Raw genomic sequence first — 18,703 nt, forward strand, 5'->3', positions numbered from 1 at the left:
AACTCAGCCCTCACCCCCTCCTTGCTCTATTCTCCATGCCCCCAAATCTGCTGCTGTTCCCACCTCACCCCTCCTGGCCTCTCCAGTCAGTGAGCAGAGGCTGCACCCACCAGGCCTGGGGTGGGCTCTCTGAGGCTCATGTGCATTGCAGCTGTCTCTGCTGCACTGAGTGGATGGTGCCTTTGGCTTCAGAGCCCCCTGCATCTGAATTGAGTTGCTGCCACCTATTCTAGCTGTGTGGCCTTGGCCAGCCAGTAAACCTCTCTTTTCATCTGAAAAACGGAGCAGACACCTTCTGCACAGGTTAACTAAAGAACCAGCTGGCACGCACATGGCCCAGCGTTTGGCCCAGGGAAGGCGAGAGATAGACATACATTCAGTGACTGGACTAACTCGGCAAATGTTTCCAGCCACCCCCTCCCATGCCCAGGGTCCAGGCTGGTGTTGAACATAGTCAATGGCCACTAAGCATTTCACTGACTGATTCATTCTTGCTGCTGAAAGGTGTTCAGCCAAGGAGCGATGGGCCACTGGGTGATTTAGAAAGGCCCTTTGGGCTGCCATGGCGGAGGGCAGTCTGGGAAGGAGGGGACAGAAGCCAAGAGACCAGAGAGGAGGTGACTGCAGCTCTGTAAAGGAGTGGAGGGCTGGGCAGGTGGGTTGGGCAGTAGGAAGTCCAGCCAGAGACTCAGGAGCAGGACCCACAGCAGCCAGCCCCGGGGCAGGACGGCAGTTGAGGACTGGGGCAGAATAGAGGAAAATATCCACCAACGTGGGTGGCTGCTTGATGCCATTGGGTGAGACATGATCTAAAGAGGAAAGGCAGGTTTAGGGCTGTTGTCTGCAGCAGTGAAAATGATGAAATGAGGAATTGGGTTTTGCAGTGTTAAGAGAGTGCTTACAGGGTATTCAGGGTGTTGTCTGTGGGGTACAATGTTTGCGACACCAAACACATCCCTTCTTCAGTGCCAAGATAGTGCCCCACCAACATGCTCTGCAACAGCAAATCATTTGCCAGTACCATGACTTTTTTCAAGTAATTTATGTGCTTCAACACATTTGTCTTCAACAACCCTTTGCAGAAGGCACTATAATTATCATCTCCATTTCACAGATAAGAAACCTGAGGCTCAGAGAGGTGGAATCATCTTGCCCAACAAATTATCAACAAAGCAGAAATTGGAGTCAGTTGCAAATAATTTCTATTGAGTGCCTGCTGTTTGGGAGATCTCTTCCTACGTAAGGGCACGTAGAACCATGTCTAGCACACAGCATGCATATTAACACTTGCTCTGATGGTGACGATGGTGAAGAAGATGATGACGATGAAGGTGACAGGGATGAGGATGCACTTCTCACATCTGATTGAATCCATTTGACAATTCTAGGAGGAGGGCATGAGTCCCCCTTGTCTGTGGGGAAAATGAGCCACAACAGTGTGGGAGTTTGTGGCAGTATGAGGGCTGAGCTCAGGTCACAGAGGTCAGTGTCACCCAGAGCTCATTCACTGCTCTAAAATAGAACCATCCAGGCTCTGCTCACTCCCTTCCCCCAAATTAGCAACTTTCTACCACTCTGCCTTTCTCCCCTATGGCTGGCAGGCTGGAGATATGTCTCCAGCCTGGAGATTTGGGACTCAGGCATTGCTGGGGAATTAAACCCTGCTCTCCTCCTCCGTCAGCACAGGCAAACTCCATGACAGGCGGATGGAGGATGTCTGCCTGCTCCCTGGCCACCCACGTGCTATCTAAATTCACTGCCAGACAAAGCCGCCTCTCGATCTTGGCGCCTCCCTCCCTCCCTGCCATTCATGCACTGAGAGATTGCATTTCCAGTAAGTGGAGGCTGGAGAGAGAAGGAAGCAAGCAGGAGGGTGGGGGCTCTGGGGGAAGAAGGAAGAGGAGAGAAAAAGGCAAGAACACTGAATCAGGCCCAAGAGTTAGCCCCACCATCAAAGTGACAACCCATTAAAAAAATGATTTGTGGGTGTGCAGGGGAGACACCACCTCTGAAGAGCCACCTTTTCCATGCTCAATGAGGCAGCATCTGCAGCCAGTGCCCGCCCAGGGTGTCTGGGAGCCGATGGTTATCACAACAGCCCTTCACGCTCCCACTTAGGAAGGAATCTCGAGAGTTCCAATGTTCTGATCCCTCCCCACTTTTAGAAGCAAGGAGTGCCCGGGCTTCATGCCTCCATGGCATTCGTTCTGGGGGAAACCTGAACGAATTTCCAATTGCATCCCCCGTGGTGTTCAGATCTCTCCCTCCTGCAGAGCCTTGGCAGGTGCATTCTCTGTCCATAAGAAAACAGACCAAGCTCCTTTGACAAGCTACAGATGCTCAGCTCCCCGTGGAAGGGGTTGAGGGGCCAAGAAGGGTGGGTCCTGGGGCCCTGACAAGGCTTCCTGGCTTTGGGAGAAGGAAGGTAGGGCCACTGCTCCCCCAGCTCCTTCTGCCACAGAAAACAGCCTCCCCAGGTAACCTAAGCAGGGGTCTTGAGAAAAGTAGCCATCCTGGGTCCTGGCTGTCTTGTCTGTTAACTGAGAGGGCTGCACCACATGCCACCCTTCCATGCCCCAGATGCAGGATGAGCATTCACTGTGGGCAGATGCAGGCCAAGGAACCAGGGCGTGCATTTCTGGCTTCCCTCCGCAAACTTTCACTGCCTTCCAGACTCTGTACTGGATGCCTGGGGATTAAGGCACAAGGATGATCACATGTGTGTCCTTGGGTGGCTCAGAGTCCCAAGGAAGAAACAGATGGAGAGCAGAGGCCCCATCATGACCGGGGCAGGATGGTGGCCTGTCAGAGGGATGTGGCCTGAAGGAAGTGTTGAAGGACCAGGAGGAGTTCTGGCTCTTTTTCTACCCAGAGAAGCTGACACGGTTGGCCAGGGCACTATAGTCACTCCAGGGCTGACTCTTCAGGCTCCAGCCACCACCTACCCCTTCTTAGACCCTGGTGCCTACTACTCCTGCCCCACCTCCAGGCACCAGCCACAAATAATGTTCGAGGTCTTCTCCGCCCTTTCCTTTATCTGCTGAGAAACATGGCTCCCCTCGTTCCCCGCTCACCAGTGGGAGTGCCCACTCATGAACATAGACTTTTGGATCTAATTGGCCAGGGTTTGAAGACCAGCTGAGCCACTTACAAGCTACGTGGGCTCAGAAAAGCTGCTTAACGTATCTCAGCCTGGTTTCCTCATCTGCAAACTGGGATGAATAGTACTACTGGCAGGGTTGTCTGGGGGACTGATTAAGATACTGTGTGTGTAAGCAGGCACTTGACCGATACTCTTGCCGTTCCCACTGCCCACAGTGCCTCCAACCCCTGCAGTCCCATTTTTTTGTGTCTGGCTGTGGTCAACCGTCATATCTGAGATGAGACCTCTATCTCTGCCATGAAGGGTCCCTGACTCTCCAAGACTACAGGTTCAAAGGATCTGCTTCCCCAAAAGGCTGAGCATACCCCTGTCATTGGGTTTAGTGTCCTGGGCTACCATGGCCCATTGAATCATCTGTTGTCCCACCAGCTGCTAAACACCTGAAAAAGAGTCTTATTTGCAGTAACTCATTTGCTCCTTAGCATCCTTGGTTTACAGATGAAGGAATAAAGGCTCAGAGAAGAGAAATGACTTATCAAGGTCACGTGGTTAATTAAATAGAAGGTGGGGCGGGGAACTCAGTCTGGCACTTTATGTAAGAACTGTGTTTTAATAAGGGTCATCAACCCAAGGCCTTGGTGATGATGAGGACCTCAGGCTCATGACAAAACTGGGCAGGGAGATATATTTGGAAAGGGAGATTTTAATGTGGAAACGGCTTACAGATTTGTGAGGCTCTGAGGCCCTAAAATACAGCAGGTGTCACTTAACCTGTTCTGGCACATCCTACTTGCCAGGCCCTGTGCTGGGGCCTTTGCTGTACCTGTTCTGTTCTGTGTCACTGAAATTCTGAAGAAGGATATGGATCCATGCCATGTCTATAGAGGACCATGAAGCTCAGCCATGTGATCTGTCCAAGGCCAGAGCTGGTAGCACTGAAACTCAAATTCAGCATTGGCCACCTCTGGGAGGGCAGGGTCCTCTTCCATCCTGCTCTGGCCAGTGGGAGGGACACCCCATGTGGAGAAGGCCTGCCCCAGGCCTTGGCCTCTAGGAAGGACGAGCGGGAAGCAGCGTCCCCAGAGACATATAGACAAGCAGCTGGGTCTCACAAACTCTGGCCAAGCCCTTGTACTGCGCAGAAATCGCAGGCACTGTCGCTGAACCAGTCCTCAGAAATCAGTAAAGCCCTGGGTTTCTCAATCCAGGTGGCGGCCTCAGCACGGAGCCATGGGGTAGCGGGGCATCTTCTCAGACCATCAATTCTACTTGGAGATGTAGGGAAGAAAACAATTTAAAAATTCCTAAAGTAAGTTCTGATACATGCTATAGCATAAGAATGTTTAAAACTCAAAGAAATTCATTGACTCTTCTCTGTGGAAAAGCTTAAGAAGTTTTGAGTTAATCCAACCCTCCCACAAAGCAGAAAGATAGTAGAGTCTGAGGCATCAGGTGACTTGCTCAAGTTCCCATGATCCATCAGCTCACAGGACCTGGACTCAGGCTTGGAAACCAGCGGCTTTGTGGTCAGGAAGCCCTGGATTCCAGTCCAAGCTCTGCTGCTGTGTAACTGTGCTGTTTTGGCTTGATCAATTCCTTTCTCCATGCCTTAGCTTCTTCACCAGTAAAATGGGGCAGCTGTCTTGGCAGCTATAGGGATTCCTGGGCCCACCATAAATGCCCGCCTCCCTGTCTGCCTCTTTCCCTACAAACAGGGTAAAGAAACCTATGGAGAGAAAACTCCCACATCAGCACTCACATCCCCAAGAGGGTAGATTCTAAAATCTTTTCTCCGTTGGTAATGAACCATGGCGCCATTAGACCACAACATTTCACGTAGTTTCTGAAATCATCATCCATATGAAGATATTGTGCTTGGAATCATCTCACAGTCACCGGAAGGCTGAATTCCCTCGGCCACCCACTGCTTTTTGCGGAGGAAACAGAAATGTCTGAAAATAGAACGTGAATCGATGCCCCCGACTTGCTGCCGCAAAGTGTGGCAAAGCCCAAGGAGCCCGCGCCGCCTCTGCCCCTGCATGGCCCCAGACGGCTGGGGGTTTCCGGGCAGCCTGGAGTAGGATTTCAACATCTCAAGCTGGAGGTCACGTGCACAGAGCAGCCGGTGGCAAACGGGGAACTCCAGGAAGCCAGGCTGTTTCAGAGAAGTACTTGGAGCTGGGGGGCATTTAGGCAGGAGCCGAGTGAGGTCAGAGGGTCGGTGGCAGCCGTAGGCCTAACTTGCCAGAGAGGGAGGCCCAGTCTCAGTGGGTCACTCCTTCCAGGAGCAGAGGAACAGCGTGACAGCCCAGTGGCGGCCAAGTGACCGCCCACAGAGCACTGGGCACCCACAACTCTCTTTGCAGATGGGAACACCGAGACTCAGGGAGGGTGAGTAATGTGCCCCCAGGAGTTACCCAGCTCAGCAGAGAAAAAATTGGGGTTGCCCCCACCCCCTCTGCCTCTCTTGGAAGGAAGTCTTGGCTTCCTCAGGCGCTCCTTCCACTCCACCCACTGTACCCACCCACCTAACATCTACCAAGCATGTCTCAACCCCAGACTCCCAGTATCATCTTGTCTGCTTCCAGATAACCCTGTAAGACAGGCAGGGTAATCATGCCCACTTCACAGATGAGAAAAACTGAGGCTCTCAGAGACCATGTGACTTGTTTAAGGCAGAGGCTCAAGTCCAGGCTGTCTGGCCCACCTCCCCAGTGTGCTTCAGAAGAGAGCACTAGTAACAGCACAGTGGCCATGACATTCCTACATGACAGCATCTCAGCATTTCCAAAGTGTTTTCACTGCCACCCTAGCACCCAGCCACAAACAGCCCTTTCCTACCCACAACCACGGCATAACCAGGAAGTTGTCTATCCCCATTTTAGAGATGAGAAAATGGGATGAGAGGGTTGAAGTAACTTGCCCAAAGTCACACAGCTAAGAAGTGGCAGATCCAGGACTCAAACCTAAGTCCTCCAGGTCTCCCCATACTCAACCTACCCATCCACATTGCTGGCCAGTGGACGGGATGAAGATGTGGGCGCTGGCAATGGTGTGGCCACTGCCTCCCCGGCCACCACCAATGCTCTGGGCCCTAAGGCCCTGCACCCCTTTTCTCTGATGACCACTCAGTCTCCAAGGCCATCCTGAAAGCAGCTTATTGCAAGACCTGCTGGAGGCTGGGCAGCCAGAGAGTGGATGAGTTAATGTAGGTGGGACAGGACACCCCTGGCTTCTCTGCCGCTCTTCTATTGCCTATACACAGCTGCACCATGCAAACCTGGTGTGATTGGGCGAGGAGGGAACAGACACTGGGAAGCCCAAAGGTTCTGGAATGACATTGCCTGCTTTTCTCTCCAGTGCTGTCAGGGCAAGCCCATGACAGCAGTTTTGGGTGCAAAGAGTGGGGAAGAAGGTAAAAACTGCCATATACAGAGAGGCTGGCTCTGGGGCATGTGTCCTTCATATTTATTCTACAAACGTTTAATAAACACCCACCACTACACAGGCCCTGGCTAGGAGCTCTCACACTTCCTCCTTCACTCATCCTGACAACCAACGTGTGGGGGGACCCCACTCTGTGCCCCACCACCATGGCAGACAGGCAAGCAAAATGGGAACAGGAGCACTGCACAAGGAGTCTGCAGTCATGGGTACCAGCCCTGGCTCTACCATTCATCCACAGATGTGTGACCCAAGCAACCCCCTGCCCTCAGTGGGCAGAAGCATGGCTGGGGAGGACAGCCAGGCCTATACGAGGCAGGGAGGAACAGGGACAGCTGGCAGGGGGTGGGGGCTCAGTTTCCTGTGTCTGGCCAGAGGCTGGTGCTTTTCTGTCCTCTCATCAGACCTACCCAGAGACGGTAGGGCAGGAAGAGAACGATTTCCTGGACTCCTACCATGTGCCAGCCCTGGCCAAACATTTTCACATGTGGTATCTTGTCTAATTTCTGTAACATCCAAGTGAGGCAAAAACAGGCTCAGAGAAGGGAAATGACTTGCCCCAGATCACACAGCTAGAGCAGGGAGGAACTGCAAGAGGATAGAAACACAGATCTGTTTGCTTTCAAAAAAGGAGGGGAAGCTTCCCCTTCCTTTTTCTTCTCCCGGGTCCCCTAGCACCTTTGTCTTCCTCCTCCGCTTAGCTAGAATGTGTTAGCACTGGAGGAGCAATGGAACCAAGAGGCAGGTGTGGAGGAACTCATCTGCTTCCCACCTTTGCATTCTCCTAGCAGGGCCGGGGTCCCAAGCTGTCTTTCCATGGTGGGAGTGGGAGGTGCTCTCCTGCGGAGTCCTGACCCATCCCCACTCTCCCACCCACCCTATCTCAGTGACTAATGGGCCGTGCCGCTGACTAAGCTGCCCTCGCAGGGTGCACAGTGGAAACAAACCCAGGTTCCTTCCTCTCTAATCCTCACCCCCATCCTTGGCCTGGGGTCTCTAGCCAGGCCCTGTGTTACACAGAGAGGTAGCCCATGATACAGGTGAGTCACGCTGAGGCTGCAGCCACCTGGATCTGCTGCCTAAAGAAGTGCTGCCCTATCCATCTGATTTCCCATGGGGCGTCGGGATGAGAAGGGGCTGTGGAAACGAACAGCCTGAATTTTCATTTCTGGCTCAACCACTGATTGTGTGACCTTGTGTCTGCTGCTTCACCTATTGGAGCAGCCTAAACATCCCGATTTGTCAAACACAGGGCTGTTTTGAAAACTAGAAGCCATCCTATCTGTAGGATGCCAGAAACATAGTAGGTACTCAGCAAATCTGAGCTTTTCCCTTCAACTGTCTAAGATAGACTGAGGGCTGAAGGCCAAGGCATTTGTTTACATTGATTGTCCAATGAAATGAAATGTTTTCCTATTCCTGACTTGATTTGTGGCAAGATAATGCTTTTTAGAATTGATTCTGACTTGTAGTTTAGCCCTGAATTCTACACCATTGTGAATTGGACCCTGAATATATCCAGCCTCTACAGCCAGAAGTTCGAGGTGGGGCTGGTACCAAATCTTATCCACCCAACCATCTGTCCATCCATCCATCCACCCATCCACCTGTCCATCCATACGCTCATCTTTTCTTCCATTCTGCCATCTATCTGTCCAACCGTCTATCCATCCATCTGTCCATTATTCCATCCACCCATCCTTTCATTCATCCACTCATCCACTCAATGATTGAATCCCCAGCATATGCCAGCCACAGCAAGGGCTCCAAACAAAAAAGAGCTTCAACAGCTTCCGCATACTCTGCTGCTGTTGACTCAGACACACATCACAGGCAGCTAATAATTACTTTTCCATTGGTCGGATGTGGAGAGGAAGAGCACTGCCTCCCTCCCAGCATCTGGCTTGCTCGACATTGCCTTTCTCTGTTCCACATGCAAGTCTCCCAGTGACTATCTTTCTCGTGAATACTTATTCCTTGATGAACAGGGTATTCCCCATAAGAGCAGAGGTTTTCACTAAGGTACATATCCCTAATGTGCACATGTATATACTGCCTGCCTCATAGTTCTAATGGGGATTTAGGGCCTGTGTGGGGCTTGCAGTTGATTGTACTGTGTCTATCTGCCCACTGGGTCAGCATAAGGCTTTACACACAGGACACACTTCCCACTTTAGCTTCTCTCCCTCTGTCGCATCATCTTGATCCATTTTCACCATCACTCCCCTCACTGTCTAGAATTTGCAGTCTGTGTTGGTTTGAGAATCTGTGTAACAGGGGAGTGAGGAGTGCAGTCTCTAAAGCTGGGCCCCTAGGTTTCATATCCATCACTCTAACTGTGTGGTGTGGAACGAGTTGCTAAACATCTCTGTGTCTGTTTCACATCTGTAAAATGGGGATCGTAACAGAACTAATTTCATGGGGCTGTTGTGAGGATTAAATGAGATCATGTTGTTTTTCTAATGGTGGGCAATACCACATCATGAGGGGGCATTTTTAACTGTAAGTGGATATTAGGGGATGTTCCAAAGGCTGCGGTGGGGTATGGGGTATGGGGTATGGGGTATGGGTATGCCACTGACAGCATGAGGCAGGAACCAGAGGTGCTAAATCTTGCAACATGCCACACAGCCTGCACAACAAAAAACTTTCCCCTCAAAATACTAACTGCACCCCTAGTGAGAACTCCTGTGAAAAGGGCCTCAGCAGGGCCTGGTACAAGGTAGACACCCACCAACTGTGAGCTTGCCACCACGTAAGCTTTGTAAGTAAAGGAAAGAACCTTGTCTGTCTCTTTCAGTGCTACCAAATCCCCAGCACTTAGGACAGAGCCTGACATCTGGCAGACACTAGGTGAATGAATGAATGAATGAATGTTACATGTTCAGTCAATGACTGGTGAGTAGCTGTTTGGTGAAACATGTCAAATTTAATCACTACTAGTGTTTGCTATGCAGCTCCAAACCACAGGATAAGGAGATGGTGGGGGAACAGCTGCCCCTTTCTGAATGTCCCGTCCTATCCTTCCTTCAAGGCCTGAGACCCCTGGAGATGACGCTCAGGGACTCGTCATTTGTCCTTCACTGGTGAATACTATCTGACTCATAAAAGCTTCTCTCTTCTCCATGACTAGAATGTGGGGGTAGGATCTGCCTCTCTTCCCTCTCTGGTCCTGGGTATAGGGGACTTGGTCCCTAGCAGGCTCAGTAGACTTGTGAGTGGTTGCATTGAATGCCGGCCATCAGGCACCTTTGCGTAAATGTGGGCAAACCTGGTCAAGCAGAGTAATTGGGAAATGGAAGGGAAATGGGGGAGGGAGGGACTCCCTGGATATTCTGAGAAGAGGATTCACCAGAAATCTCGATTTCTACCCGTGTCAAAAATTCTTCCATCCTTAGGCACCTCCCCTCCTTGGTAACACATAGAATCTTTCCCTTCTGACTTGAGTTCAGAAGCCAGCCAGCATTTTTTTGTTTTTTTTTTGAGACGGAGTCTCACTCTGTCGCCGATGCTGGAGTGCAGTGATGCGATCTTGACTCACTGCAACCTCCGCCTCCAGGTTCAAGCGATTCTCCTGCCTCAACCTCCCAAGTAGCTGGGACTACAGGCGCCTGCCACCACGCCCGGCTAATTTTTTTGTATTTTTAGTAGAGATGGGGTTTCACCATGTTAGCCAGGATGGTCTCGATCTCCTGACCTCGTGATCCACCCACCTCAGCCTCCCAAAGTGCTGGGATTACAGGTGTGAGCCATCACGCCTGGCCCAGCCAGCCTTTTAAAATTTATGTCACTGAACTTTTGCTAAGTGCCTACTGCATGCAGTGGAAGAGCTGAATCAAACTAGTTCCTGCATGCTGGAGGTGCCAGTCTTTGGCGGGTGCCAGTCTTTGGCCATGATCAGGGTGTGCTGGCCAGATGGGAGACTTAGGAGTTTATGTCAAATGGGGTTGAGTTCCTGATACTCCTCAGAAGCTATGTTTTGGTATTTAATGTCTAACGGAAGCTCATGTTCTTGCTGGATTTTCTTGTTTGATTTGCTTTTGTTTTTCTGAAAATTCTACTCAGTCGATGTATTGATCAGTGAGATTGCGGCTAAGCGTGGTTTTATAGGGTGGGCTCATTCAAGGGGTGAACAAGAAGACAGTTCACCTTCTCATGGAACTTACATTCCAACACATACATATCTAACATATTACATTCCAACACATACATATCTAACATATTACATTCCAACACATACATATCTAACCTGCCAGGTGCTTCCAAGTGCTGAGAAGCAAACCAAGCCATGTTTGAGGATAACAGGAGTAGAAGGCAGGGGGCAGGGGGAAGGGTGGGAGAGGAAGGTCTCTGATTAGGTGCCATGTGAACAGAGGCTGAGGAAGTCAAGAAGCCAGTGGCGTGGATCTCAGAAGAGCTTGGATGTCAGCCAGTCTCAGGATTGTGGTTCTGGAAGGTGTAAGCTCCAGCCAGAACCTGGGGGTCCCAGCACTATCAAGGGAGAGAGATGGTTCCTTTCCCTCAGTTTCTTCTCTCTGGACTTTGGGCCCAAATGACTCAGAGATGGTGACTTTCTCTAACCCTCTCAAAACCCATACTCAAGACATTTCCCCTTTCTCTAACCTAAGTCTGCCGTGTCCTTTCTCACCCCACTGGGCAGGTGGAGCACAGGAGGTCACTGCCCCCACAGATCACATGGTGAAAAAGCAGCCCTAAGGTGGGAGGATGCTGAAAGATGTCCCTCAGGGAACTCCAGGGACATCCCCAAAGCAGTCCCCATAAGCCAAAAGGGCTTTAGTCTCCTGTTTGATCGTTAAAAGCCATGCATGTATAAAATTCTGCTTTGCAATCTATGCATGTATCTACCCATGTGGTAAAATATACATGTATTCAATTATTCACCTGAAAGATGGGCCAGGTCTACACTGAAGATCCACTAGGCCTCCAACACTCTGCTCTGACCCTGGAGACAAGGGCATCCACAGTCGAGAGCACAGGGCAGAGGAGACCCCTGGAATTCTAATCGTGACTTGCTATAGACATACCACGTGTCTTTCCTCGACAGAGGGAGGGGTCCCTGTGGCTCTTGGGCCCCCTTTCCAGGCAGCTGATGTCTCTGAGGACCCCAGTGAAGGGCAGGATGACGTGGATGATAAAAGCCTGAATTAGAGCAGGGTTGTGGGGGTGGGAATATGGGAGGAATGTTCTGGCCAGAGGCTCTCCTCTTTCCACCGGAGGGAATATAACACATCCCCTGAGAAAGCAGATGCGGCTGTTTCACAGGCCTCCTTGCTGAGGCTTCAGGGCCTGTCAGTGAATCCTAGCAGATCTGGTCCCTACCATGATGCCTGGCATCAAGAATCCTCAATCAGTATCTGTTAAATGAATAAATGAAGGAATGGTCAACGAATGAATGGCTAAGTCACAAAGCACCAGCAGCCAGCCCCTGGCTGAGATGATTCTGGGGCACTTCTGGCCCTAATCATGCATTGGCAGTGCCTCCACCACCCTTTTGTTCCACTCTGAAGCAATCATTTGATGGACTGCCTGCTGCCCCCATGGTTTCCCTCTGTGGCTAATGCAGTAAAAAGAGCCATAGATTATAAACCACTAATTGTATTTAGAGAAAAAAAAATCTTGCCATAATAATGGGTACCAAATGACTGGGTCTCTGCTAATCACCTCGCATTTATTATCTGTTTACTTCTCACACCAACTTTCCATCAACCCCGTTTGCTTCAGATTAGAAACCAAGGGCTTCAAAAGGTGACATGTTTGCTGGGGAAATGGGACTGGCTGTGAAGTCCTCTCTCTTCTTTGCTTGGCACAGGAAGAAAGAGCATTGGGGACTTGCTCCCCTCCCCATTTCAACTTCCCAGTCACATTCCTTCCAATAAGAAGAATCTAAGGCACTTAAATGCTATTTATTTATGCCTATGAGCATGGGGTGCAAGAGCTTCTGTCCAGGGAAGCTATGCATGGGGATGGCAGGTCCCAATTGGGCTTCGGTGGCTCCTGACTCAAGGCACTTGTTTCTAGGCTGCTGTAACCTATGAGTGGTCTGGTGTGGGGAGACACATGGCATGGGGCAATGGCACTTAGCTAAGCCAAACTGCCCAGGTCTGCAGCAGACACTGTTGGAGCTTGGCCCCTTCCCCTGTCTCTTGTCATTTCCTTGCACTCCAGCCTGACCTCTTGGCCTCAATTTTGCATGCACAGAGGACTGGAAGTTCTTGGGAATTAATGGCTGCCACTATCACTATCTCAGCCGTGGGCCAGCCCTCAGGTAACGGCTGCTGGGTGCAGGGTATAAATGCCCTGGTTCCCTCGCAGGTGCACAGAGTAGAGAATGAGCAAGTCAGGAGGGCCAGCATGTGACCTGGTGTAACAGCATCACCCCCGGCTCGAGGATCCATGGGTCAGGGAGCATGAAATCACCCTGGGGTCCTACAAAGTGGGCACTATGACTCCCATTTTGCAGATGAGGAAACTGAGGATTCCCACCTGTGAGAGGCAGCAGCAGGATAGGAATTCAGGCCTGTCAGATTTAAAGGCCAAACACCTGCTGCAGGAGAGAGGCAGGGGAGAGGGTAAGAAGCTAAGTGCCAATAGGCAGACCTCAGGGCTAGGAAGAAGGGCAGTGAGGGTGAGGGGTGGTACGCTGGGCCAGCACAGGCATTTTATTCTGAGAACATGTTGGGGCTGGTCAGTACCTAGAGAGGAGTGCTGCAGGACACCCCCAGCTCCCAACTGATCCTGCCAGTTCTTGCCATGCACCCATGGCAGTGCCAGTCACCCAGGACCCAATCTGGCAGCTGCCTACCTCCAAAGCTACTGGCAACTCTCACCTGCATTTCTGGCAGGGGGATGAGGAAAGTGGAAAGAATCCATTTTTTCCTGATTATAAAAATAGTACATACTGTGAAAATTTCAGAAAGTATAAAAAGAAAATAAAAATGACTTATGATCCCATCCTAGAGATCACCACCATTCACATGTGAGTGTCCTTCTGGTAGACCTTTTTCTAGACACATATGCAGTTTGATTTTAGTTTTTACATCTATCAGCTATACTACTTTTTTCTTTTATTGATATATTATCTGTATCTTTCAAGTCATTGAATATACACCTATGTCACCATCTTTAATAGCTGCATAGTATTGTGTTGTGTAGATGGCTCCCATTTTATGTAAATCAACCTTACTGATAGACTATTGCTGGTTTTACAGTAAACAATGCTGCTATGAGCATCTTTAAAATAGTGTCTTTCTGGGGTCAATTAAGAACATGGATCAAAAGGCTTAAAAGGATACCATTCCCTTTGACCCAGTGATTCCACTCGGAAGCACTTGATGGTCTTAAGGCAGTAATCAGATGGAAGAAGGCCACCAGCACGGATGATCCAGAGAATCCAGAGAATAGGAACCAGACAGCAATGGAAGGATCCCCCATTCTTGAGTTAAGGCCAGGGCAGGCACATGGTTCATATATAAACATTATATGTCTTTCAGTCTTGAGTGCCTGGTGTGGACTAAGCACCTAATAAATGAAAGGTGAGACTGGTCACAAATGCAAGGTGGGAAGCCCGTCAGAAGTCACGGCAGGGCCTTTCCACAAGCTGGATTGGTGCTACAACCCTGGAATACTGGCTTTAGGTTCCTCTGGGTGAGGAACTTGTCCCTCTCTTGTCCACCCTTGTTACTTTCCCTCAGCTTCAGGGAGAGTAAATGAAGAAGCCAGGGGCTAGGAAGGTGACCAGAAACCCTAGTTTCATGGAACAATGACATACCAAAGCCACACATATCTTTGTTCTGTTCATGACCATGGAGAGGTCATTTCCTCATCTCTGCCCCACCTCCTTCAACTATTGAATGGGAAACTGTGGTCCACTCACCTGCACAAAGCAATCAGGGGGCAGCGCTGTGAACAGAGACTTTAGAGTAACATCATCATGACTGTCATCACCATCATGGCAACAATAAGGGCGGTTAACATTTACTGAGCACTTGTCACCTGCCAGGTACTGTTCTAAGTGCTTAGGCTATGCTAATCTTCATGCTAGCTCTATGGCGTTGATACTATCACAGTCACCATTGCATGATGGAGGCAGGAGGCTCAGAGAGGTCACCCAGCTGGCTTGCTGAATTGTTGGGGTCTGAACTTAGCAGCCTTCTTCTAAGACACAGATATTGGTCAGAATGCCACAGACCCCCTGCCGCCCACCAGCGGGGTCCTTCAGGCTTCTTATTTGGCCTCTTTGAGGCTTGAGTTTCCTTGTCTGTAAAATGGGGATACCACTTTCCATCTCATTGGCTTTGAGGACTCTCAGGGGAGCAGTGCACACAGGAGGACCACCACTCAGCTGGGCTCAGAGTGTGTGTGCCTTCCGCAAGCATCTGAGACAGGTGCCACAAATGAGGGCTGCTTGCTGCCCACACAAAGATGATCTGCCCCCAGTCAATATACACTTGTCTCTCTCTTGTCCACCCTGTTAGAGACAGAACAAGGGGTCTCTATTTTCAGTCATGACAGGGATTCCTTCTAACCCTCCAATAGGCTGCAGACAGTGAATGTCACCCACTAGAAGGTATAAAGGCATAAAAAGGTATGATGGGTGTAAAAAGAGGTTTGTTTGAAATTTGTGACTTCACACTTGGCACTCCTGGTAGGGATGGGTCACCCTCTGGCATCCATGACCATTTACCCATGAGCCCCTCTCACTTCCCCTGGGTGGGTTTCAGCAAAGGCAAAAAATGCATATGATTCCTGACCTGAGGGTTTCTTCCAGGATTCAAAGGCTCTCTGGACTCTCTGAAACCTTAGAAAAAATTGTGTGTGTGTGTGTGTGTGTGTGTGTGATGGAGAGACAGAGAGAAGGAGACAGAGAGAATGAGAATAATTCTAGAGAGAGGGCCTGTAGCTGTCAAGCTGTCAACATAGTTTCACTGAGGCTCCTTCATTCCTAAGAAAATTTAGAAATGCTATGACAAAGGGTTTTCCCTGTGAAATGTCATTACATAGATCAGCCGTGTGCTCTCTGGCGCGAAATCCTCCCATCCCCTCACCCCACGGAACAGAGCTCACCTGGGGCTCACATAGCCCTAACTAATTTGGTCTTCATTAGCTATGTGATCTTGGATAAGACATCTCGCTTTCTAGCCCCTGTTCTTCCCATCTGCAAAACAAATAAGTTGGACTTGTGAGTGGCTTCAGCATGTGCTCTACGGAGCTCCGGGGGCACAGGGGAGAGTGGTGTGGCCTTGGGGGTGAAATGTATGTGGGGGTCACCTCTGTCCAACAACAGCAGCTCTAGCTCTCACAGAATCTGCATGAAATGTTACATGAGCAAATGGCTCTGTAGCCTAAAGCCAAAATTGAAACAAAACCCTGGCCCAGTTGATCACTTGGAACCTTTCTGGCTTGTGAGGTCTGAGCCCTGAGCAGCACCAAGCTGCTCTGGTTCTGTAATCCTTAGAGGCGGTGGAGCCTCCTGGTTAAGAGTCAGAACCTGGGTGGAATCTTGGCTCTGCCACTCATTAAGCGCCATGACCTTAAGCACGTTGCCTAAAACTCTCTAGCCTGCTTCCTCTTCTACAAACTGCACACACCTACCCCACAGGGTCTCTGTAATGATTAAACAAATTAATAAACCTACAACACCTCGCCAGATCCACAGCAAGCACTTGTAAGTGTTAGCAGCTATCTTCTGTCACAACTTCTAACATGAGTCCACAAACATGGAATTCATCAACAAATGGCAGCTGAATAAACGAGGGAGTGAAGGAATGAATGACTGGAGTCCAAAATTCCATTAGTTGATTCTCTAAGTGAGCCCACTCAAAGCATTAATCCAAGGCTTCCTAAGCTCCAGTGTGTGCATCATCTGGGAACCTTGTTACAAGGCAGAATCAGATTCTGCAGGTCTGGGCTGGGGCTGGGCCTTGGCATTTCCAGGTTCCAAGGCGAGGCCATTGCTGCTGGACTGAGTAGCCGGGCCTTGGTTCATTGCCACTCATATTCATTAGCTTGTAGGCTTCCCACCTGCAGTTACCAAACCACTCAAGACCCTTGAAAATCTCTGTAGATTGGGCACTCTTTATCACCTACTGAGCTACCAAGCCCAGTGCACTTTTTTTTTTTTTTGACACGCGTCTCGCTCTGTCGCCCAGGCTGGAGTGCAATGGTGCGATCTCAGCTCACTGCAACCTCTGCCTCCTGGATTCAAGTGATTCTCCTGCCTCAGCCTCCCAAGTAGCTGGGATTACAGGTGTGTAGGATTACAGGTATGCACCACCACGCCTGGCTAATTTTGTATTTTTAGTAGTGATGGGGTTTCACCATGTTGGTCAGGCTGGTCTGGAACTTCTGACTTCAAGTGATCCATCCATCTCGGCCTCCCAAAGTGCTGGGATTACAGGTGTGAGACACCGCACCGCACCCGGCCCCCAGTGCACCCTTGGACTAGGTTCGTAAGAACGGACATGGGCATCCGTGTTAAACCCGAAGTTCATGTCTAGGCTCTACCATGCAATGACCGGCCAAGTCCCTGGTTTCTCTGGGGCTCAGCATCCTCACTTGTAAAGCAAGATCAGCAACACCCTCCCTGCCCAGCCCATAGAACTGCTCTGAGGATAAAAAGTGACAACAGATGGGACCATCCAGGGGCCAGAGGTCGTGATTAACTGGCAGGCTTTATTTCCAACTTCTCCTCTTCACCCTTTGAATTCATCCCGAGGGAAACTGACACACATTTTTTTTTTTTTTTTTTTTGCATAATGGCATGCAAGGGAAGAGGAGAGGAAGTCAGCCTGCTAAATTTAGCAGATGCTTACGCCCCCTCACCCAGGGCTCAGCCCACGCATTTCACCATGAGTAGGTGCCTTTCTATATTTAACTTCTGCCTGCACCTTCCCCTTGAGCTCTGACACCAAAAACCCCAGGAGGATGTGGTGAGGAGGGAAGGGAAGTTCACGAAATGAGCAGGGTTGACATCACATGAGGCCCCACCTGCACCTTCAGGTGTGCGTTCTTCAACCTTTCCCCTGTCCTTCTCTTGGAGCTTAAGACTCACCCAGCCAAAGTGTGACCAGAGATGCTACTGCCCTTTGGGACAACAGCACTCAGTGGTGGGCAAGGGACCATGAAAAGCCCAACAGAAGTCATGGCGAGGCAGGAGAGTGTCTAATGCTTCCCATAGGCACAGCACTAGGCCCATCTGCACAAGTGACCAAAGTGAATCCACACAAAAGCATCACACAGATGGTATCATACTCAGGCTGCCGATGAGCAAGTGGGGGCCCCAAGAGAGGGAGTTGTCCAAAGCCTGTGATGGGTGGAGGGTCCAAAGCCTGTGGTGGGTGGAGGATCCAGGCCTGTTCTCCAACATGACCCTGTCCATATCACATTTGTCTTCTCACTCCACCTTCTTTATAGAAGACTGCTGGGGAGGTGATGGGTTCAAGTCTTACCTATGTCATCACTCAGGGGTGTGACTTTGAGTTAGTCCCTCTCCTTCTCTGGTTCCTCACTGCACAACAAGTCCACTGGACTGCCTTTCTGTTTGATTTCCGAAAATCTTCTTGATGACATCAGAATCCAACGATCAGAGGAAGTGAGAATGAATCCGGATGACTGACTTTCAAAACCACAGGGTGACCTCTGTGCTGCACCTCCCTGGTCAGCACACATGGAGTCTGTGGCAGTCACCCACGGAGGCTCCGCAATAGCTCCTCACCCTTCTGGGGAGCCCTCACTGAATGCCTCTGTGCCAAGCAGCTCAGCAGGCTCTGGGTGGACTGAGATGAACCAGGGGCCTAGACCAGGGTCCACCTCCAAAGAGGGGAAAAAGACCAGGGAAGACTGCGGCTCTGACTGTGATGTGGTCAGCACGGCGATGGAGCTCCCATGGGGCACAGGGGCTGGTGCCTAACCCAGCCTAGGGGGCTGAGGGAAAGACCCAGTGGGAGGCAGACAAAATACATCCAACACTCCAGGCCAGCAGTTCTCAAAGTATGGTTCCTGAACCCGGAGCATCAGCGTCATCTGGGAACTTGTTAAAAATGCAAATCCCTGGGCCTGTCCCAGACCGACAGAACCAGCAGTCTGTGTTTGAACAAGCCCAGGCCCTCCAGGTGATTCTGAGGCACTCTCAGTTTG

General features: G+C 50.4%; 1 protein-coding gene across 2 annotated transcripts in view, besides 5 other annotated features; it reads right to left on the minus strand.

The window, feature by feature from the left end:
- Positions 1–18,703, minus strand: part of HIVEP3 (HIVEP zinc finger 3) — a 529,570-nt gene that overhangs the window by 227,663 nt on the left and 283,204 nt on the right. The window lies entirely within an intron of this gene.
- Positions 4,983–5,132: an enhancer, noted in NCBI's record as "active region_879". NCBI's record gives its function as "activates an Ori minimal core promoter by ATAC-STARR-seq in GM12878 lymphoblastoid cells {active_cell/tissue: GM12878}" and the evidence as "EXISTENCE:reporter gene assay evidence [ECO:0000049][PMID:35858748]".
- Positions 5,163–5,382: an enhancer, noted in NCBI's record as "active region_880". NCBI's record gives its function as "activates an Ori minimal core promoter by ATAC-STARR-seq in GM12878 lymphoblastoid cells {active_cell/tissue: GM12878}" and the evidence as "EXISTENCE:reporter gene assay evidence [ECO:0000049][PMID:35858748]".
- Positions 16,424–16,553: an enhancer, noted in NCBI's record as "active region_881". NCBI's record gives its function as "activates an Ori minimal core promoter by ATAC-STARR-seq in GM12878 lymphoblastoid cells {active_cell/tissue: GM12878}" and the evidence as "EXISTENCE:reporter gene assay evidence [ECO:0000049][PMID:35858748]".
- Positions 17,824–17,983: an enhancer, noted in NCBI's record as "active region_882". NCBI's record gives its function as "activates an Ori minimal core promoter by ATAC-STARR-seq in GM12878 lymphoblastoid cells {active_cell/tissue: GM12878}" and the evidence as "EXISTENCE:reporter gene assay evidence [ECO:0000049][PMID:35858748]".
- Positions 18,344–18,533: an enhancer, noted in NCBI's record as "active region_883". NCBI's record gives its function as "activates an Ori minimal core promoter by ATAC-STARR-seq in GM12878 lymphoblastoid cells {active_cell/tissue: GM12878}" and the evidence as "EXISTENCE:reporter gene assay evidence [ECO:0000049][PMID:35858748]".

This window comes from Homo sapiens, chromosome 1 (assembly GCF_000001405.40).
Source record: "Homo sapiens chromosome 1, GRCh38.p14 Primary Assembly".
Lineage (NCBI taxonomy): Eukaryota > Metazoa > Chordata > Mammalia > Primates > Hominidae > Homo > Homo sapiens.